Source organism: Homo sapiens, chromosome 8 (assembly GCF_000001405.40).
Source record: "Homo sapiens chromosome 8, GRCh38.p14 Primary Assembly".
In the NCBI taxonomy this organism is placed as follows: Eukaryota; Metazoa; Chordata; class Mammalia; order Primates; family Hominidae; genus Homo; species Homo sapiens.
The window spans coordinates 38,770,582-38,785,842 of NC_000008.11; the positions used below are offsets into that span (position 1 = coordinate 38,770,582).

The 15,261-nt window shown below is 41.6% G+C and overlaps 1 protein-coding gene across 41 annotated transcripts in view; it reads left to right on the forward strand.

Annotated features, from left to right (window-relative positions):
* Positions 1–15,261, forward strand: part of TACC1 (transforming acidic coiled-coil containing protein 1) — a 124,447-nt gene that overhangs the window by 42,000 nt on the left and 67,186 nt on the right. For 7 of the 41 annotated variants that reach the window (XM_011544632.3, XM_047422147.1, XM_047422138.1 and 4 more), the window contains exon 2: positions 15,095–15,155. The exons of the other annotated variants lie outside the window; for them this stretch is intronic. The gene's annotated coding sequence lies outside the window, so the exon portion shown is untranslated. The remainder of the gene's footprint in view (positions 1–15,094; positions 15,156–15,261) is intronic. 41 annotated transcript variants of the gene reach the window in all.

The window sequence follows — 15,261 nt, forward strand, 5'->3', positions numbered from 1 at the left end:
TGTCACGCTCAGAGAGGAGCAGTGCCCTTGGAGTGCCCTGCTCTTGCTGAGAGCCGCACGATAGATGTCTTTGAATGACTGACTTTAATTAAAGTGTGGCGGGCTGGAGATAAAATGATTCTGAATATCTTATTTGGGGGGAAAAAAAAGCCAGCTTCTTTCTTAAGGGAGAAAAAAAGGACTCCAGCGCCAGGAGTCTCTTCGGTATCCCTGAGAGTCGGGGGAACTCTTTAAATGCGGCCCTTGATGGTGTTGTGGAGGGAGAGTGAATTCTGGGAATCTCTCAGCAGCTTTTTGCCAAACAGATGGGCCAGGAGCCGCGGAACCAGGCTGAGGAATGTTGCCTCACGATCTCACATATCCATTCCTGGCACCCACCAGCCCAGGGAATGCCTCTACCAGTTGTCAGCGAGAGGCTTACACAGCATCTTAAATAAAAGGGATTATTGAACCAAGAGGCCAGGGACTGATGGAAATGCCCACCTTGCTGGCTCATTGAAAAAGTTTGGCAAGGTTGTCAGGAGACATGAATTAGATGGGCTTGGGTCTTGTGCCCTTTGCTAAACCAAGTGCTGTATTGGGAAAGAGACGGGGAGAGAAGTGTTGGAGATGCTCTTTAGTCAGGCCTGAGTCACTTGCCCAACCCTGGAGTTGGAGTTGGGGATGGAGCCAGGATCTCCAAACCACATGCCCCTAGAGTTTCAGGGAAAATATGGATTGTGAATTGAAGATGGGGGGTGATGTAAGGCAGACAAGGACAGAAAATCCCTCTTCCAGCTGTGATTTGGCTGTGAGTTTGGCGCTCGAGACACCATACGCTCCTGAGGTTTGTTAAGGGGTTTCAGGATATTGTGGACAAAAGGGAATAGCAAACGATGTTCAGTCCATAAGTACCATTTGGAGGAGGAAATAATTGAAATTGCTGCTGATCAAAAAGCTTTTTGTCTCCAGTTTGGATGTTGGAGACAGGTTTCTGTGTAAGAGAGTGAGGGTGTACAACATGACTGAGAAAGAAAACAATGAGTTAAGGCACATAAGTGCGCATGGGTGTCACCTGGAGGCCTTCTTATAACACAGATGGTCAGGCCCACCCCAAGTTTCTCATGCAGTAGAGGTGGAGCTCAAGAATTTGCATTTCTATTTTACTTTATTTATTTGCTTTATTTATGTTTGAGACAGGGCCTTGCTCTGTTGCATGGGCTGTAGTACAGTGGTGCAATCATAGCTCACTGCAGCCTCCAACTCCTGGGCTCAAGTGATCCTCCCAACTCAGCCTCCCTCCCAAGTAGTGAGGACTACAATCACACGCCACCATGCCTGGCTGTATAATTTGCACTTCTAAGGTGTTCCCAGGTGATGCTGATGTTGCTGGCCCAGGGACCACACATTCAGTACTGCTGTTAAGGCAAAAGACTTAAACACTCCATATATGAAAGAAAGAAAAAGAGAGAGAGAGAGAGAGAGAGAGAGAGGAAGGAAGGAAGGCAGGCAAGCAGGCAATGCTTCAATAAATCCATTAAAACACATTCAAACTTCAGAAATAAACGTGTTCAAATAAGACCAGCAGTCCTTGGTGGTGGCTTATCATTTCACCCATTTGACAGTTTTAAAAGATTGACCGAACTCAGTATTGATTAAGGTTTAGGGGAAAGGCTGTCTCATATACTGTGTTTACAAATGTGAATGAGTACAGCCTTTCCAGAGGGCAGTTTGGCTATGTGTATCAAAATATAAAATGTGTTTGTTTTGACACTACAATCTCACTTCTAGAATTTTACTCTAAGAAAAGATAAGTGTGTGAAAAGAAATTTAAGTGTGTGAAAAGATGCATATGCATGGGATTGCTCATCACGGTTTCATTTATAATGAGGAACAGCAAACCCGTTAAATATCCCTCCATGGGGAGCAAGTCAGGCAAATTCTGTACAGACACACAAAGGCATGTTATGCAGTGAAGAGAAGGAGGCACATGTGGGTTCTGCAGAGAGGCAGATCCCAATGAGGGGTCAGGACGGGTCTTGGCTGCACATCCTGGTTTCCTCTTCATCCATGGGGAGCAGCACCTTATGAAGAAAACAAGCGGCATAATGAATAAATACTCACCTCTAGCAAAAGATAATATGTATAATTAAATCAATAAATATTAATTTGTTAAATGTTAATAAATGTAAATAAATATTCATATATATTAACGTGTTGATTTAAATATTACTATTCATTAATATAAACAATAAATTGATACTTGTTAACATTAAATATCAATAAATTTTATGTATTAATATAAATAAACACTAATAAAACAAATATTTAAACATGCATAAAGTACTCACCTCTATTGATTAAGGTTTGTATTAAGGTTTATAATATTAAGGTTTAATAATTAAGGTTTATTGTTGTATTAATACTTAACCTGAATAAGTACTCACCTCTAGCAAAAGACAAAACGTATACTTAATAAACACTAGGCCCGGCGCGGTGGCTCACGCCTGTAATCCTAGCACTTTGGGAGGCCGAGGCAGGTGGATCACAAGGTCAGGAGTTTGAGACCAGCCTGACCAACATGGTGAAACCCCATCTCTATTAATTATACAAAAATTAGCCTGGCGTGGTGGCGGGCACCCGTAATTCTAGCTACTCAGGAAGCTGAGGCAGGAGAATTGCTTGAAATTGGAAAGTGGAGTTGTGGCGAGCCGAGATCATGCCACTGCACTCTAGCCTGAATGAAAGAGTAAAACTCCGTCTCAAAAAAAAATTCATTATTTTAAATATTGACATAAATATTAATATGCATATCAAATAAATTAAAATATTAATATAATATAAATTTTTATATTTAAATATTAATATTTATATTAAATAAATACTAATATAATATAAACATTAATATTTACACTGGTAAATATTAATAAAATCAATAAATATTTAAACATACATATTGTCTTTTGCCAAAAGTACTTATTCACTATTTGTGTAAAAGTATCTATCTATCTAGCTAGCTATCTATCTAGCTATCTATCTATCTAGCTATCTATCTAGCTATCTATCTGTTGTTCCATTTGTCCAAATAAGTACATGCTTGTGTATATGTAAGAGAGAGATTTGCAATCTTTATTCAGTCATCAAATATTGAGCAGAAGAAACAAGATAGGTAAGGTACTCTGTGTTCATGGAGCTTATGTCTAGTAGGGAAAGACAGATTATAAATATTAATAGAAAAACATAAATATTTCAATTCCAGATGTAAAAAGTACTTTGAAAAAGAGGGAAAAAAGGGTATATCTAGCTCACCAACATTTTAACAGTGGCTATTTATGAAAGACAATACTATGGGCAGGTTTTTCTTTCTTCTTTGAACTGCCTATGTAGTCAAAAATTCACTTTTTCAGAGACAAGGATGCTTAACATGGTCTTCTAGGCTGTCATGCCTTGTGCCTCTCCCACTTCACCAGCCTAAGCCCCTCTCCTCCCTCCAGCAGCTGCTCTTCAACCACGCTTACTCAAAACTGGAGGCTGCTTCTGTCCTTAGTGTCTTGATGAAGGAACGCTGTTACCCTACACTTCACCCAGGCAGCTTCTGCCTATCCCTGAGGCTTCAGTCTGTCACTCCTTCAGAGCAACCTCCCTTGACATCTCCACCGATGCCGTCCACCAGCCATTCTCAGAGCCCCCTGCAGTTCTTATATTTCATACATGACAATTTATATATTACATATTTATTTGTTGGCTTACTAAGCTCACTAATATGCAAGTTCTATGAGGGCAGGAACTGGGTCTCTTTTGTTCAACACAGTGTTCAGCAGAGGCTGGCAAAGCTTGGTCATTTGTCAAATTTGTGGAATGAATGAATGAATGAATGAATGAATGAACATATGTATTATTTTGCCTTAAACACTAAAGGTATTTAAAAATACATTTTTTATTATTGTTTTGAGACAGAGTCTCACTCTATAGCCCAGGCTGAAGTGCAGTGGTAGCATCACAGCTCACTGCAACCTTGAATTCCTGGGCTCAAATGATCCTCCCATCTTGGCCTCCCAAGTAGCTAGGACTACAGGTGTGCATTGCCACACCAGGCTAATTTTTTTTTGTTTTTGTTTTTGAAGGGATGGGGTCTCACTATGTTGCCTAGGCTATAAAAATATTTTTAAAGGCCAGCCACGGTGGCTCACGCCTGTAATCCCAGCACTTTGGGAGGCCGAGGCGGGCGGATCACGAGGTCAGGAGTTCGAGACCAGCCTGTCCAACATGGTGAAACCCCCTCTCTACTAAAAATACAAAAATTAGCTGGGCATGGTGGCACATGCATGTAATCCCAGCTACTCGGGAGGCTGAAGCAGGAGAATCGCTTGAACCCCAGAGGCAGAGGTTGCAGTGAGCGAAGATCGCACCACTGCACTCCAGCCTGGGTGACACGGTGAGACTCCGTCTCAAAAAAAAAAAAAAAAAAATGAAAACCAAAAACTTTTAAAACAAAGTACAAGACTATTTGTATGTATTTGCTTTATAAAACAATTTACAGTGCCTTTTAAAATGAGGTGAATTTTGGGGAGAAGTCATATCTCTATTATACATACCAAGTGGGCATATCTTTTGGGGCTGGGGGGAAACTCCAGAATTCATACCTTCATACCTTCCTTGCAAGGGTTATGAATCCTAGTTGTGCACTTTGGTGCCTGAGTAAACCTTCTTCCAAAAAGAATGATATTCGACCCAGTGATCTTTGGCAAAGGTCCTTTCCAGCTAAAAATTTCTGTGGTTCTATGAGATCTGAGATGGATGCTTAGGTTAGGAGTCAGTGATTATCTTAGTCTGTTAAGGCTACTATAAGGATATAATTGCCTGGGTGGTTTATAAACCAGTCATTTATTTCTGGAAGTTCTGGAGGATGGAGGTCCCCATGATTAAGGGACCAGCAGATTCCACATCTGGTGAAGGCTGACCTCCTGGATGTCTTCTCCCTGTGTCCTCATTTGGCAGAAGAAGGGAGAGGGAGCTGTCTGGGGTCTCTTTTATAAGGGCGCTGACCCCAGGAAGAACCCTCATGACCTAATCACCTCCCAAAGGCCCCACTTCTTAATATTCTCACATTGGAGTTTAGGTTTTAACCTATGAATTTTGGGGGGATATAAACAGTCAGTCTGTAGCAGTGATTTATCATTTGTTCAGAAAATAATGTAAAACAAATATATTCTGCTCAGTGTCTATGCCTTGGCCAAAGGAAACAGAAAACACATAAGATATTCCTATATCATACATGATGAGGTACAGGGAAGACCGGTAAGGATAAACTCGCTCTTGCTTGTCATAGTTCTATAAAATAATACAACAAAATAACTTGACTAATTGAGCCCATAAGAAAACAATTTCTAAAAATATTTTGTGTGTGTGCTAGAAATCGTCACTAGCACCAGTTAGTGTTGAAGCCAAAGAACAATGATTAATTCACTTATAGGATTTGGGTCAGTTATTATTTATTATTGTTATTATTTATCCTTAGAATTGGGCAAATATTGGAGTTATACAATCATATTATTTCAAGGAAATCTCCCCAAAGAAAATAATAACCTTCATCAATATGTAAATCCATTCTACTTGGCCTTTGTGAAATCTAAATATTGACTCCCTCCTTCTTCAACGTTTTTGTCCACATCAGTCATCTTTAAAAATGCAACTGCCTAATTTCTAGAAAGTCAGTATCACAGCTCAAGTCATTACGGCAGAAGGAAGGGTAGTCTCAGTCCTGTTTTTAGGATAATTAGGACATCATCCACGGGGCAGGCTTGAGTCTTTTGGTTCGGGAATTTTCTGCCCTGAGAAAAGACATCATTGAGATACAGGTAGAGTGTTCCTTATCCAAAATGCTTAGGACCAGAAGTGTTTCAGATTTTAGATTTTGGAATATTTGCATATACATAATGAGATAGCTTGGGGATGGGACCCAAGTCTAAACATGAGATTCATTATGTTTCATATACACCTTCTACACATAGCCTGAAGGTAATTTTAAACAGCAGTTGTAATAATTTTGTGCATGAAACAAAGTTTTGACTGTGTTTTGACTGTGACTGGCCACATGAAATTAGGTGTGGAATTTTCCACTGTGGTGTCATGTTGACAAGCAAAACGTTTTGGATTTTAGATTGTTGGATTAGGGATGCTCAACCTGTGTAGATTTATCATTTTTAAAAATGCTTCCATCTTTGAAGGAACTTTCATGTAATCCTGTTCAGAAGAATGTAGAACGAAATTTAAGGCAGGTTCTTCCCATACCTTCATCTAAGGAAGCTTAGATGCTGAAATCCCCCAGAGGAGGTTGTAATGTGAGGGTGGAGATGAGGCTGCTGTTACAAAGGGGCCCAGTGACACAGTCTGATAAAGAAGATAGACTTTTAGGCTGGGCACGGTGGCTCACGCCTGTAATTCCAGCACTTTGGGAGGCTGAGGCAGGCGGACCACCTGAGGTCAGGAGTTCGATACCAGCCTGGCCAACATGGTGAAACCCCATGTCTACTAAAAATACAAAAATCAGCTGGGTGTGGTGGCACGAGCCTGTAATCCCAGCCACTCTGGAGGCTGAGACAGGAGAATTGCTTGAACCCGGGAGGCAGAGGTTGCAGTGAGCCGAGATCACGCCACTGCACTTCAGCCTGGGCAACAGAGTGAGACTCCATCTCAAAAAAAAAAAAAAAAGAGAAGATAGACTTTTCTCTCTCATGGAACAGTCCTCAGGCAGCAATTAGTCTAGGGCCGCAGGCTGCTCTGCTCCCCAGTCAGCCTGGTGCGGGTTCTGTCTGTTCTGTGGCTCTATCCTGTCCAGAGTGTGGTCCTCACACAGCAGAAGTTGTGACACGCAGTTCACAACTTTTCGGCCGGGAGAGGCTGGACATGCAGTTTTCTTTTTAAAGACATTGGCCCAGGGGCCAGGCACAATAGCTCATGTCTATAATCCCACTGCTTCTGTAGGCCAAGGGGTGAGAATTGCTTGAGTCCAGGAATTTGAGACCAGCCTGGGCAACACAGCAAGACCCTGTTTCTACAAACAAAACAAAACAAAACAAAAAACATTAGCTGGACATGGTGGTGTGCACCTGGATTTCCAGCTACTCAAGAGGCTGAGGTGGGAGGATTGCTAGAGCCCAGGAGCTCGAGGCTATAGTGAGATATGATTACACTACTGCATTTCAGCCTGGACAATAGAGCAAAACTCTGTCTCTAAAAGAGAAAAAAAAGACACTGCCCCAAATTTGCACTTACCCCTTGTGCTCACATCCCATGGGTGAGAACTGAGTCACAGGCCACACCTAGTTGTAGAGAAGGAAACGTGGCCTCTTGCTGTGTGACCATGTGCTCAGCAAAAATTCAGAGGGTTCTTTTGCTAGAAGAAATAAGGAAATGATGGATACAGATGGATACAGGATGTGGGGTGAGGGAATTAGGCTCTACCATGGTGATCTTGTGGAAATTCAAAGAGTAGAGGTGCATAGACACACAATGTTAAAGAAGCATTATAGTTTTTCTTTTTTATCTTTGTGTGTGTGCATGTGTGTAGAGATGGGCTCTCACTGTGTGGTCCAGGCTGGTCTCAAACTCCTGGGCTCAAGCGATCCTCCTGCCTTCGTCTCCCAAAGTGTTGGGATTACAATCATGAGCCACCACACCTGGCCTTTTGCTTTTTTATCTTAATAATTAAAATTGTGTGTGTGTGTGTGTGTGTGTATGTGTGTGTTTACAATGGGTACAGAAGGAACAGAGCCATGAATTATGTTTCACAATCTGTGTAGGAGATATCTTTTGACAGTTTTATCCAGTTTCCAACAGTTAAATATTTTTGTTTCCTCTAAGAAGACAGAGGTCAGTGTGACCCCCTCGCTCCATAAATGGACATTTCACTTACTGAGTTGAGGCCAGCTGAACCACTCCTGAGCCACAGGCAGGAATCTCTTTTGTTCTCTGGGCAGAGCTGAATTTACTATGAAGCTGAGGAAGCCTAAGCTTCAGTCCCCTCCCTTGCATGGGCCCCTTCATACTAGTGTGGCCCTAGCACTGTGTTCATGGGGTCCTTTAGCATTTTTCTTAAAGAGTGCTTCCCCAGTTTTTAGGCTTCCTGCTTCACAAAATCAGGCCTTGGCAACCTGTTTGATGCCTCCTTTCTTTGCTGAGCCTTGCTACTTTTTCCCAGATGGGGAGAGGCTCCTGGGTGTCATTTCCCTCATCAACATAGTTTCTTGGAAGAAACCACCCTAAAAGGAAGTATAGCGAAAGAGCATCCCAAAGAAAGAGATGTTAAAATTAATCCTTTTGCACCTCCCACATAAAGTATGCCTTTTATGCTCTGGCCCAATTTTTTGTGCCTTTGAGGATTCTCATTTGTATCAGTAGGGGTCCTTGGGTTTTTTTTTTTTTTTTCTTTTCTTTTTAGACAAGGTCTCGCTCTGTCACCCAATCTGGAATGCAATGCCACAATCACGGCTTACTTCAGCCTTGACCTTCTGGGCTCAAGCGATCCTCCTGGGCTCAAGATTAGCTGGGACTACAGGCGAACACCACCACGCCTGGCTACTTTTTAATTTTTTTATAGAGATGGGGTTTTGCTATGTTGCTCAGGCTGGTCTCAAAGTCCTGGGCTCAAGTTATCCTCCTGCCTCAGCCTCCAAAAGTGCTGGGATTATAGGAAGATGCCACTATGCCTGGCTGAAATGCTCTTTTTTTATGGTACTTTGGCTCAACTGGCAAATGCCTTCTTGAAATGAGCATTTCACACTTTGGTCACCACACAGTCACTTAGATGAAACCCACAGGCTGCCCAGTAACATGGGCTCCCACTGGGCATTTGGGGAAGGGCACACCCTGCCTGGAGTGGTGAGCACTGCTAGGCCTGCTCTCCGCCCTTTTCCACCCTCCGGGTGTCTTCAAAGCTGGCTGTTTTCTACACTAACTTCTGGCAGGTCTGGATTTTCCGTATAAGGGCTTTTTTGGCCAGTACTTCCTTATACTGAAGAATTTTATATTAGTTCCCTTTCAGATTCGAAAATCAATCTTTAGTCAACCTAAAACATTATTCCTGGAGTGGGGCTTGACTGTATGTGGGGAAGAGGAGAGGGAGAGACTGATGCAAATATGCACACACACATACTTTTTGCATACAATTTCAGGGAGGCCAGGACCTTCTGAAACCCTTCCTTGCTAAGCCTCTGCTGTAGAGGGTGAAATGCAGCCAAGTTAACTTGTTAACAACAACAAAAAGGCCGTAACAATACTTTCCTCCTGAGATTGTAGGAGTAAGTGGGGGAGATTAAATGAGACGATTCATGTAAAGTGTAGTGTCTAACACATAGTAAGCAGTTATAATTGTTCACTTTTCTTTTGGGGCTTAAATGATCTTACTTGTTTTCACGAGTTCCTTAGGTAATAACAATACTAACAGCCTTTGTTTTTCCATGGCCTGTTGTTTGCCTTTTAACTTGAAGGCACACAGTCAGAAGCTTCATTTTTTTAAATGTAACCAAATCTATCTTTATTTTGTGTCTGATTTCATTAATTACTTGTAAGTTGGATCCTCATCCTTCCTACAGAGCTCTGATAGATTCTGTTGCTTGTAGACTGTTTTCTCCCAATGGTTCGATTTTTATTATTTAGTCATCTAATCCATCTGGAATTTATCCTGGTATATGCTCTGAGGTAAGGGTTTAACTTGATCTTTTTTCCCATTGCCAGCCAACTATGCTCCAATCATAAATCTTCCTTCTCCTTACATATTGTAACATGTTCTTTATATTTTTGTTGTTTGTTCTTTTTTTTTGAGATAGAGTCTCGCTCTGTTGCCCAGGCTGGAGTGCAGTGGCACGATCTTGGCTCACTGCAACCTCCGCCTCCCGGGTTCAAGCCATCTTTTTTGGTATATAATAAATTCCTGTATCTTGTAAGATCTTTTCCTGGGCTTTCTGTTCTGTGTTACAGAACAAAGATCTGGCTATTTTTGCATAAATGTGTCTCAATGTCTTGTAGGACTAGTCTATTCTTCACTCTTCTTGTTGGTGTTGTTTTTTTTTGTTTTTTTTTTACAAAATCTAAAATATGTTCACCAGTTTATTTTTCCAGATAAACTTTTAAACATTATTGACGAATTCTAAGAAAAATCCCCTCGGAATTTTGATTGAAATCAAATTAGCCCTGTAAGTTAACTGGGTGGTATTGCCATCTTAGCAACAGTGTTTTACCAACTTGGAGTTTCAGGACCAAAATACAGTAATCAAAATTTTACTCCAAAGAGATAAAAGCTGGAGTTTACAGGATGCTGTGTATCATGTCACAGAGTTGGCTGCTTATTTTCCCATCTTTTTATTTCTTAGAAATACAGGAAGATTATTGGTCACAAACACATGAGTTACTGTAATGAAATTCCCCCAAATCCCTAGACTAAGGAATTAAGTTGGAGTTGGTGTCACAGTTATTTTTGAAAGCTTTTTGTGATTTTATTCTTTTCTTCTGGGTGGACCTTTTCTCCCCACATCCTCCTAGCAGTGAATCTGCTTTTGCCTTTCACTGCCCCTTCCAACCACCATCCCAATCTGTTACCTTGTAACTTCTTAGTGACAAGAAGACGTATGGTCTCCTGAAGATTCACAATATATTTATGAGGATAGTGAGTAGAATATTTTATATTAGGGTGATCTCAAAACATTTGGGCTATATGATTAATGTTCTACTAATCCATAAGGATGCATTGTTTAGGACATTTATTTTATTTTGGAGGTGGGGAAAAGAAGAAGGAATAAAATGGCTGTAGGAGAAGAAATATTCTTCTTTTTTTTTTTTTTTGAGGCGGAGACTTGTTCTGTCCCCCAGGCTGGAGTGCAGTGATGCAATCCTGGCTCACTGCAACTTCTGCCTCCTGGGTTCAAGCGATTCTCTTGTGTCAGCCGTCTGAGTAGCTAGGATGACAGGTGCGTGCCACATGCCCAGCTAATTTTTGTATCTTTAGTAGAGACGGGGTTTCGCCGTGTTGGCCAGGCTGGTCTCGAACTCCTGACCTCAGGTGATCCACCTGCCTCGGCCTCCCAAAGTGTTGGGATTACTGATGTGAGCCACTGCGCCTGGCCAGGAATATTATTCTACTTAAATGTCCTGAATTCCTTCAGCCTCTTTAATTCAAGTCTTAAATTCCACCCTCCCCACAAACAGGTAAGTGTAGTAAAGCAGATATCTCAAATTTGAAGTAATGTCCTTTACTAGAATCTTAAATTTATAAACAACATAGAGGAAGTTTCAGATGGTTTTCTTGTCTGAGCTCTAGGTATAAAACTCTCAGACTTGGAGTTGGACTTGGACAGCCCTCTTTTTTATTTTTTATTTTAATTTTATTTATTTATTTATTTTTTACATTCTTGTAAATCTTTATTTTTTTTATTTTTTATTATTTTTTTTTGCAGATTTCTTTTTTTTTCTTTTATTATTATACTTTAAGTTTTAGGGTACATGTGCACATTGTGCAGGTTAGTTACATATGTATACATGTGCCATGCTGGTGCGCTGCACCCACTAACTCGTCATCTAGCATTAGGTATATCTCCCAGTGCTATCCCTCACCCATCCCCCCACCCCACAACAGTCCCCAGAGTGTGATGTTCCCCTTCCTGTGTCCATGTGATCTCACTGTTCAATTCCCACCTATGAGTGAGAATATGCGGTGTTTGGTTTTTTGTTCTTGCGATAGTTTACTGAGAATGATGATTTCCAATTTCATCCATGTCCCTACAAAGGATATGAACTCATCATTTTTTATGGCTGCATAGTATTCCATGGTGTATATGTGCCACATTTTCTTAATCCAGTCTATCATTGTTGGACATTTGGGTTGGTTCCAAGTCTTTGCTATTGTGAATAGTGCCGCAATAAACATATGTGTGCATGTGTCTTTATAGCAGCATGATTTATAGTCCTTTAGGTATATACCCAGTAATGGGACGGCTGGGTCAAATGCCCTCTTTTTTAATGCCTAGTCTGCTCGAAAGGAATCTGAGTTCAACAGAAGGAAACAAAATGTGCTAAATCAGTAAGAGTAATCCTCCAAGATGATATTCCTGTTTAACAGGCTCTGTAAATACAATAGTGTTGTTTAGCAGGAAAGACCAAACATATCTATTGGAATAGAAGATATTTCTAAATTTAAAGATAGTTCACTGCTTTAAGTGGAGCTTTGTGTTTGTTTTTGGTTTGCTTGTTTTCAACTTTGGATTTGTGGTGGTTGGTGGGAAGAATTAGGGATAATGTTGGGGTTATTTTTCTTCACTTAGAATAAACAGGCTGACCTAATTCTGTTTATATCTTTTGCACTCAACAACTGCTTCTTTAATATGTTTACATCACAGAGTAGAGAACTAAAGTGAACTTTCTTATAAAGTCAATAAACATATAGTCATGAATATTTGATGGGAATGAGAGAATCTCACAGAACTGGCTCTTCAATGACACTAGTGTAGTGTAAATATCTATCTATCTATCTATCTATCTATCTATCTATCTATCTATATATATATATATATATATATATATGTCCCCCCAGCTTCTCTGAAAGCTGACACAGTGTAACTCTTCTGTGTGGCAGTTCTGCTATAGGTTTGACCTGTGACCTAGGTTGAATGGTATACTTCCTGGGGAAAGCAAACTTTTCTTCTGTGATACAGAAGAAAACAGATCAATGGGTGGATATGACAAGAGTTGTTCACCAGAGCAAAGTCTGGGCAAGGGTCTTTCAGCAGACCCCAGGTGGGGGGCTCAGCCAAGTCTTTAATAAATGCAGTTTGGATCTTTGTTAATCTTCCTGGAACTCTGAAAGAGTATTTTCTTTTTTTTTTTTTTGAGATGGAGTCTCACTCTGTTGCCCAGGCTGAAGTACAGTGGCATGATCTCGGCTCACCGCAATCTCTGCCTCCCCGGTTCAAGTGATTCTCCTGCCTCAGCCTCCCGAGTAGCTGGAATTACAGGCGCCTGCCACCACACCTGGCTATTTTTATATTCTTAGTAGAGATGGAGTTTCACCATGTTGGCCAGGCTGGTCTCATACTCCTGACCTTAAGTGATCTGCCTGCCTTGGCCTCCCAAAGTGTGGGATTGCAGGCATGAGCCACCGCACCCAGCCTGAAAGAGTATTAGCTATGAACATACCCTGACACCTCTCTTTTAAAAAATTAGAAAGGAGCTTCTCTTTATAATTTTCTGTATAAATGCATTGTACACAGTCCTGATTTCGGTGTTTGGGTAGTGGAGGGAAGATTGTAATTCTATAGATGTTTGTAGTCTACAGGTAAAGGATAATTAGGTAAATATCTGATCTTGCAAGGTTAAGACTGTCATGTTAACATATTTGAATGCGGTCAGATGCTGTTATTGGCAATGTTGTCTTGATTAGACATCATCATGCCCTTGCCTGGTTAGACTGAGGTAGGGCAGAAAAGCAGATAGGGTGGCCACAGCCTCCTGTTGGCAATGGCACGTCTTCACTGACAGGGCTAGAGTGTTCCTAGTTGTGACTTTGCAACCTGTACCAGGTAAGAACGAAGCCAGGACTAGGAGCAGCAGACTGAGAGGAGTGGTCCAGCTAATGGACTCATATTCATTACTGCTTACACTAAGTTCAAGAACTTGCAGAGGAGTGATTTTCAGAAACCTTAGGCATTTATTTGCTAGTCCAGTCTCAAGAAGTTGCTGCAGGCCGGGTGCGGTGGCTCACACCTATAATCCCAGAACTTTGGAAGTGGGTGGATCACCTGAGGTCAGGAGTTCAAGACCAGCCTGGCCAACATGATGAAACCCCGTCTCTACTAAAAAATAAAAAAATTAGCTGGGCATGGTGGCAGGAACCTGTAATCCCAGCTACTTGGGAGGCTGAGGCAGGGAGAATCGCTTGAACCCAGGAGGCGGAGGTTGCAGTCAGCTGAGACTGCACCACCGTGCTCCAGCCTGGGTGACAGAGTGAGACTCCATCTCAAAAAAAAAAAAAAGTAAATTGCTGCATAGGTGAGGCTTAATCTTACTGGGGCCATCACTTGGTCCTGGGTTCTGTTATTTTCTGGCCCAGAAACTAGATTTCCCCAGGGGGAGTCAGGCTTTAGGAATTTATGTCACCTTAGCCAAACTCACAAGGACTATTTGTAAACTAGAATGTTTGTTTTTTCTTACATATATATTGAACACCTACTGAGTGTGTGGTTCTGTCCTAATTTCTGGAGGAAGTCCCAAAGGGGGGTAAAGTCCCTTTAGAAGCTTGTGGGACAGATATGTAAATAAATATGTTATATATGGTGTGCTAAGTGTAGAATGGCCTTACATCCTGGTCTTCTGGAGACAGTCCTGGTTTATGCCTATAGTCCCTGTGTAACTATTAAGAATGCTGTCTTTCACTTTCAGATCTAAGGCCACAGGAAGTGTTCTTTATGGATGTTCGGGGTATAGAAATGATAGAAAGGAAGGACAATGAGCCTGCTTCCCCCTGTAGACACTTGAGCTAAGTGCTGAAGGACGTTCGAGCAGCTGAAGCCTGGGAACTTGGGGTGGGCTGGGGTGGGGGAGGAGGTGTGTTCCAGGAATTCGCAAAGCTCCCTCTGCAGGCAAAGGGAGACTGTTCCCGAAGCAGTAAGCAGTTGGTTCAAGCTAGGCACTGTTTCCCAAATTTACCCTGTGATAACAGTTCCCCAGGACACTTAGTGAACACACAGATTTCCAGACTCTGCTGGCAATTTGGATTTTTTTAAGAAGGCTGGCGGATGATTCTTGGGCATATTAAAGATTGACAACGAGTTCTCTACTCACTGTGGCTAGGAATACAAAAGGATGGGCATAGAGGGGAATGGGAACCGAAAGATTAGAGCACGAGTCACTGATCAGCCAGGCAGGGGTGACCTCAGGCAAGAAAACCTTCAGAGGTAAAACCAGGTGGGAGTTATTTACAGTAGATCATGAAAGATGGGGAGTGCGGGAACTATGTCAGTCACCACAGGGATGCAAAGGAATGAAAAGATAAGAGAACTATTCAGGAGGAAGAACAGGTCCTAGTGTATGCTAGTTACTGATTTGCTGGGGTAATATTATTTCCCAGAAACAGAACCCTGTGTCAAATCCAGGAGCCTGGGGGACTGTAGAACCTGAAGTTTTACTGGGTAAGCATAAACCTAAAACTACAACAGTTGGATAAGTGGTGTGATATATTTCACATGGACCTCCTGCCTAGTTCACTTCTTTATAGTCGCTAGAACACTCATGACA